This window comes from Homo sapiens, chromosome 17 (assembly GCF_000001405.40).
Source record: "Homo sapiens chromosome 17, GRCh38.p14 Primary Assembly".
NCBI classification, from domain to species: domain Eukaryota; kingdom Metazoa; phylum Chordata; class Mammalia; order Primates; family Hominidae; genus Homo; species Homo sapiens.
Window position 1 is genome coordinate 55,598,437 of NC_000017.11, and position 8,062 is coordinate 55,606,498.

The 8,062-nt window shown below is 36.0% G+C and overlaps 1 annotated feature.

Moving 5' to 3' along the window:
• Positions 3,692-3,986: a silencer, noted in NCBI's record as "tiled region #8574; HepG2 Repressive non-DNase unmatched - State 21:Repr". NCBI's record gives its function as "represses a minimal TATA promoter and a strong SV40 promoter by Sharpr-MPRA in HepG2 cells {active_cell/tissue: HepG2}" and the evidence as "EXISTENCE:reporter gene assay evidence [ECO:0000049][PMID:27701403]".

Below are 8,062 nucleotides of genomic sequence, written 5' to 3' on the forward strand. Positions count from 1 at the left end.
GCCTGATTTTTTAAAAAAATTGTTTTTGGCTAGGACTTCCAGTACTAGTTTGACTAGAAGTGTTGAGAGTGGACATTCTTGACTTGTTCCTTTTTGTAAAGGGGGAGTTTTCAGTTTTTCTTCTGGTCCTAATTTGTTAATTGCTTTTTTTTTTCATCATAAAAGGGTACTGCATTTTGCCATAAACTTTTTCTGCATCAATTTGATATAATTATGTGGTTTTTGTTTTTCATTCTATTAATGTGGTTATTAGATTGATTCTCATATGTTGAACCATCCTTGCATTCCAGCAATAAATGCCACTTGATTATAAGTTATAATTTTTAAATATGCTGTTGAATTTTCTTTGTTAGTATTTTATCGAGGGTTTTACATGAACATTAATCAGGGGTATTGGTCTGTAGTTTTCTTGTCTTGTAGTATTTATGTCTCATTTTGGTGTCAGTGTAACTAACACTAGCCTCATAGCATGCCTCATAGAAGTGTTCCCTCATCTTTTTGTTTTTAAGAGAAGAATTGGTGCTAATTTTTAAAATGTATGGCAGAATTCTCCAATGAAACCTTATGATCCTGGACTTTTCTTTGTTGGGAGGATTTGGTTACTGATTTATTTCCTTACTTGTTATAAGTATGTTCTGATTTTTAATCCTTTATTATTTAGTCTTAGTAGATTACATCCTTCTAGAAATTTATACATTTATTCTAGGTTATTTGTTGCTGTATAATTGCTCATAGTAGTCTTATGATCTTTCTTATTTCTATAGCATTAGTTGTAATGTCTTCTCCTTTTTGTTATTTTAATCTTTTCTCTTTTTTCTTAGTTTTCCTAAAGATTTTCCAATATTGTTGATCTTTTCAAAGAACTAATTCTTATTTTCACTGATTTTTCTAATGTTTTTCTATTTCATTTATTTATGCTCTAATGTTTGCTATTTTTTTCCCTTCTTTGGTTTTATTTTTTTCTTCTTTTTTTCATTCCTTGAGTTAAAAAGTTAGGTTGTTGATTTGAGATCTTTCTGCTTTTTTAATATAGGTGTTTAACATTATAAACTTTCCTCTTAGGAGTACATTTGCTGCATCCCATAAGTTTTGGTGTAATGTGTTTTCATTGTCACTTGTCTCTAGATATTTTAAAATTTCCCTTTGATTTGTTCTTTGATTATTCAAGAGTGTGTTAATTTTCATATATTTATGAATTTTCCTGTTTTCCTTTTGCTATTAAATTTTAGTTTTATTCCATTGTAGTCAGTAAAGATACTTGGTGTGATTTCAATTTTCTTAAATTTGTTAAGACTAGTTTTATGGCTCAAAATGTGATCTACTTGGAGAATGTTCCATGTGTTCTTGAGAAGAATGTGTATTCTGCTGCTGTTGGATGGAATATTCTGTATATTTCTGTTAAGTTCATTTGGTCTATAATTTTGTACAAGTCCTCTATTTCCTTGTCGATCTTCTGTCTGGTTGATCTATCATTTATTAAAAGTGGAATATTGAATTATCCTACTATTATTGTGTTATTGTCCATTTATCCCTTCAATTCTGTCAGTGTTTGCTTCGTATATTTGGGTACTCTACTGTGAGCTGTATCTTCCTAGTGAATGTACTCTTTATCATTATATAATGTCATTCTTTGTCTCTTGTTAGACAGTTTTTGACTAAAGTCTATTTTTTATATAAATATGGCCACTTCTGCTTTCTTTTGATTACCATTTGCATGGAATACCTTTTCTATCCTTTCTCTTTAAGCCAATGTATGTCTTTATACCTAAAGTGAGTTTCTTGTAGAGGGTATATAGTTGGATCTTTTTTTTTTAAACAAGAAACTATTCAGTCATTCTATGTCTTATAATTTGACAGTTTAATCCATTTACACTTAAAGCAATTACTGATAAAGAAGGACTTCCTATTGCCATTTTATTGTTTTTGGTATGTCTTGGAGTTTTCTCTCCATTTTTATTTCTTGCTGCCTTCCTTTGTGATTCATTGATTTTTTTGTAGTGACATGCTTTGATTTCTTTCTCATTTTCTTTTGTGTATATTCCATAGATGTTTTCTTGTGGTTATCATAGAGATAACATAAAACGTCTTCTGGTTATAAAATATATTTTAAACTGATTATAACTTCAATAGAATTTAAAACTCTACTCCTTTTCATTCTCTACCACCCATTAATGCTATTGATGTCATAAATTACATATTTTAATATTTTATATTCATTAATATAGTTTTATAGCTAGTTATTTATATGCTTTCTTTTAATTCTATACCTGAATTAAAAGTGATTTATACACCAGCATTACAATTTGTTTCTGTATTTATTTATATATTTACCTTTATGGAGAGCTTTAAATGTTCATATACTTTTGTGCTGCTGGTGTTAGCATTCTTTTATTTCAACTTGAAGGTCTCTGTTTAGCAATTCTTATATGGCAGGTGTAGTGGTGACCTCCCTGAACATTTATTGATTTGGGAAGGTCTTATTCTTTCATTTTGAAGGACAGTTTCCCCAGATGTAGAATTCTTTGGTAATTTTGTTTTCTTTTAGTGCTTTGACTATATCATGCCACTCCATTCTGTTATAAAATGTCTCTGCTGAGTTATCTGCTGATAACCTTATGAGAGCTCACTTTTTAATGACAAGTTGCTTTCCTCTTGTTGTTTTCCAGATTGTCTTTGTCTTTGACTTTTGAAGGTGTTATTATGACGTGTCTCCCATGGGCCTCTTTGGGTCCATCCTAGTTAGAGTCCTTTGAACTTCTTGAATTCGGACATCCACTTTCTTCCTCAGATTTGGGAAGTTTTGGGTGATTATTTCTTCAGGTAAACTCTCTGCTCCATTCTCTCTTTTCTCACTTTTTGACTTCTATAATTCATATATTGGTCAGCTTGATAGTGTCCAATAAGTCCCTTAGGCTTTCTTTTATTTTCTTCATTATTTTTTTTTTGTTCCTTGGACTTTATAATTTTAAATGAACTGTTTTTTAGTTTCCTAATTCTTTTTTCTGTTTGATCAAGTCTGCTATTGATACCCTGTAGTAAAATTTTCAATGTAGTTATTGTATTCTGCAGCTCCAATATGTTTTGTTCTTTTTTATAGTTTCTATCTTATTTTGATATTCTCATTTTGTTCATGCACTGTTTTTCGGACTTTGTTTAGTTACTTGTGTTCTCTTGTAATGCATCAAACTTCTTTAAGAAGATTATTTGAATTCTTTGTTGGCTAATTCATAGATTTCCATTTCTTGAGAGTCAGTCTCTGGAGTTTTTTTGTTTCTTTGATTGGGTTATGTTTCCTTGTTTGTGTGCTTTGTAATTTTTGTTGTGATTTTGCATTTGAAAAAAAATAACCACCTCTCCCAGTCTTTAAGGACTGGCTTCACATAGAAGAAGACATTCATCAGTCAGCCTGGTTGGAGGTTCCAGAGGTCTTTCAAACCTTTCTTGGGGATGCATTTTCTCTGGGTTTATTTCTCAATTAGATAGGTTTGCTGGTTTTTCAGGAGCTGTAGTCTCTTACTCACTCTGGTGGATGTTTATGGCACTGCAATTTTCTGGCACTTCCACAAGCCACTGAGCTCTCTCTCTTCTCAATGGCCCCCAGGACTTTGAAATATGCCAGTTTTCCATCAGTGCTTTGAGCCAGGTGAAACAGAAATCAGTTTCTTAGGAAGCCCCCAACAAAAGCCAGAAGGTTGGACACACATTTCTCTCCTTTTTTCCTCCTATGGGAAAAGCCATGATCTTGGTACTTTCTCCCTATCTTGATGAGCTATGTTGGCTCTGTCTGCAGTATTGCAAGTTCTCTGGTGCTGCTTCTAAGTTGTTGAGCTCTCTTTTGTTCTCAGAGGCTACCAGGAATCCAAAGTATGTAGGTTTCCCCATCAATGCTCTGTGCTAGGCAAGACAAAAACCAGTCCAGGCATTCCCTTCAAAAGCTGAAATGTTGAATGTGCATTCCACTCCTCTCTTTTATTTCCCAAAGAGAAGCTATATATTGGAGTTTTCCTTTTGATCATGATCTGTGCTAGCTTTGGGGAAGGTCTGATGCAGTTGACATGAAATAGCTTTTCTTACCTGTTTCAGGGGAGATGTTATTGGCTTTCAGTTTGCCTGGGATATTGCATCTTCCTAACTGGTTTCCGGCATTCTTATAAAGGCATTTTGGAGCATGTATTGTTGTTGAGTCAAGGTTTTTGTTGGGGAGTGAGGTCTTGGGCTTCGTATTCCACCATCTTGCTGATATCACTCTATAGCTACTTTTTAAGGTAACATCAAAATCTACCAAGGTATTAGATGGTCGTTACTTTATATAAATCTGTGCCATCTCCTGGAATGTTCTGTATTCTAATTAAAATACTTAATACAAAATTTATTTCAGTATGAATATTTTTGTGTCACTCTGAGGATTTGTATGCCTGAGAATATGTTTAGCATCCTGTCATACTTAAATGACAGTTTGGCTGAATATGAACTTCTTGCTCTAAGTACATTTTTCCCCCAATACTTAAAAATACTACTCTATTTTTAGAAATTCTTTTTTTGCTGTTGGTTGTTACTAGTGTTGGTGTTGAAACATCTGAAATTAATCCGATTCTCGATCAGTATTGCAGGATCTGCTTTTTATTCTCTAGGAGCTTTTGTAACTTTCTCCTTGCCTTTGATATTCTTACATTTTTTAATAAGATGTCTAATGTGGGTTTTTCTTTATTCTCCTCTTTGGAATTATCTGACTCTTTTACTGTAAAGTGTCCTCTTCTTCCTTCTTTTCTTTTATTTGGGAAAATTTATCTCCATTACTTCTTCAAATGTTTTCTTTTCTTATTATTGCTTTCTCTTTCTGGGATTTCTATTATTCTCATATTACTAATTCTAGTTGTATTTTGCTCTCCCTCCACTTCTTAGATTTTCTTTTATGTTTTATATTTTCTTGCCTTTTTATCCTTCCTTTTGAGAGATTTTTCTCAATCCGGTTTTTCACATTTTGAATCTATTCCTTAGCTAATTCATGCTATTTGTTTGATTTTTTCTTTATTTTAACTAGGTTTTTTTATATCTATTATTAATTGTAACTTTTATCATCTCTTTCGGTTCTAATGTTTCTTCTTTGGCACCATATGTAACCCGTAAGTTGTTTTTATTTAAAATAGTTGTGCTTTTCAAATGTATTTTTATTTTGCTTTGTGAGATCATTTTCCCCAGGAGATATTGGCTACTTTGTCGAGAAGGGTAGATCTTAAGCTGCAGCAGCCCTAATTAGCTCAGGTTAGGGAGCTAAGCCCTTGGGCATGGTAGGTGGGGGACGGGGTGGGTGGTGGGAGGGAGGGGGGAATGTCTGCTGATATCTTAAACTCACATGTATTTATTCTTGAAGTATATGCTTCTTTTCTCCCCCCACGGCTAATGAAACCTGCTTTCCTTTTGGTTTTCACATCTATTAATAAAACGATGTGGCTCATTTCTCATCCTCCTCCAAGAAGTGGCCAATTTCTGGTGGGTTAGAGAATTCCCAGGGGCTATAAGATAGAAATTGATGCTATTTAAAAAATGCCAGAGAGTCTTCCACTATGCCTAAATATGGCCATGGGAGAAGGCCAGGTACAGAAAAACCAATTAGTTACTTCTGGCCCTTAGGTCAAGGCCTCATTCTTTGCCCAGAGGAAGTAGCATCCTGAGATTGTAAAAGCTAATCAGTCTTAAAGAGTTTGGAAGGGGATGAATGGGGATTCTCTGCTCAAGGTTAGTCTCTACCTGTTTTTCTTAATGCCTCACAAATACATATCTTCTGCACTCCTTTGTTTGTATTACCTTGCACACCTGGACCAGAGCTGAGAGCCATAAGGATGAGGACAGAAATTGTTTGTCCGAGGCAGCAACAGAGAAGAGCAAGAGGAAAACACCAAGAGTTCCTATCTTATTGTACTCTCCCAATGTATGCCGTTATTCCTTCTATTCAAAGTCAAAGCCTCACTCATACACCAGTCCTAAACAGTATAACTCCAGCTCTCTTGACAAATTTCTAGGTATTTTCCCTCTTCAGTACTTCAGAGGAAGGAGTCAGCCATCATACTGGTTCAGCGTCTTGAAATATCTTGATTTTAATCTTATTTCTAATTTTTCCAAAAGTTTGATCTTGGACAGTTTACTTTATTTCTCCTTATTTTTTTTTCTTTTTCTTTTTTTTTTTTTGAGATGGAGTCTTGCTCTGTTGCCCAGACTGGAGTGCAGTGGCGTGATCTCGGCTCACTGCAAGCTCCGCCTCCCAGGTTCACGCCATTTTCCTGCCTCAGCCTCCCGAGTAGCTGGGACTACAGGCGCCCGCTACCCTGCCCGGCTATTTTTTTGTATTTTTAGTAGAGACGGGGTTTCACCATGTTAGCCAGGCTGGTCTCAAACTCCTGACCTCGTGATCCGCTTGCCTTGGCCTCCCAAAGTGCTGGGATTACAGGCGTGAGCCACCGCGCCCGGCCCTTAGCTTTCTTAGAATAAAATGGGACTAATACCTAACCTTGATATTGATGTAAATATTAGAAATAACATATAAGTCATTAGTGCTGTTATTGGCATAGAGTAGAAATTCAATAAACCATAGCTCCTATTATAATTATTGCTTTTGTTACTGTTGTTGTAACAGAAAATTAGAGCTGAGCCTGCCTTTCTGTTCAGCAATGGGATGTTCTGGATAATGGGATGCAATGTTGCTGTGCTCTTCGTATAAAAGGTCATCTTTACTGTGTTTAGGATAACATCACTGAGATTGTTTATTTTTCCTTTGGGGCTATGTATAACCACTCAGAGGATTTGGGGGTCCGGGCTCCAGGAAATGAAGATGTACCTGACAGCTGTCTTATGAGGGGAAGTAACTGACCCCTATAACATGATCAAAAGCAGAAGGAATGGTGTGGGTGACCATTGTGGATATTGGGAATAGCCATATTCAGATCCAGCATTTACTTTCCTTCTTGTCTGTTTCAATTCCTTTCTGTTAGAGCCCAATGCCTTCAATAAAGGAACATTACATACTACAGAGTGGCTTTCTTGTGCTTGGGTAATTAAGAGATATAACTGTCCATTTTGGGGATGATGAGTCTTGAGAAGTTTGATCATGAGATAGTAAGAAGAGTCTACAAAAAGCTGGTCCAATCTCAGATGACTGACTGAGCTGACAAACAGAGTGGACCTGTGGGGCAGCCCAACAGGCCTCAGGGATTCTCAGAAATACTTGGGGTGGGGAACATGATAAAAGACTGCGATTCCTAAAGTAGCAAGATAGGAGATAGAAAATTCTGATTTGACATTAAGGGAAAGTATGCCTCACTGTAGGATGGAGGATCAGGACCTTTGCCTTGCATTTTCTAGTTCCAAATGATCTGTGTTAATATTAGCACCCTCCAGCACTCTATACCTGCTCGCAACAGAACAAACACTTGTTGCCTCCTCTCTTGCTTGGAGGGCTCTTGGGGACAGAGCTTTGACTCTGAGTCACTTGATTGTCAGCCCCCCTGCCCTGGGTACTTGGCTTCCACTGTGGTCAGCAACATTGATTTCTGCAGTGGACCTGGCAACATTATGGTCAGCTACATCCACTGTGGGGCCTCAGCAACATGTGTCCTCAATTTTCTCTTCTCAGGGCGGATATGAAGTGGGAAGCCAAGAAAATATGTCTGCTTATTTCTTAAACTTATGCATATTTATTCTTGAAATGTATGCTTCTTTTTCCCTCAGGGCTAATGAAACCTATTTTCCCTTTGGTTTTCACATCTAAAATTATGTGGCTCATTTCTCATCCTCCTCCAAGAAGTGGCCAATTGCTGATGGGTCAGAGAATTCCCAGAGTGCATAAGATAGAAACTGATGCTATTTTCAAAATGCCAAAAAGTCTTCCACTATGTCTAAATATGGCCGCAGGAGACATGTGTTCTTTAATTATGTTCTCCCAAGTTCAATAATTACTTAGGAAGCTTCTTGGAGTGAAGGATATCTGAGAAATTCATAGGGGCTTTCGTTGCCTCCCAAGTCACTTCTATAAACTCCACTCTACAGACCTCATAAATTCCAACAGGGC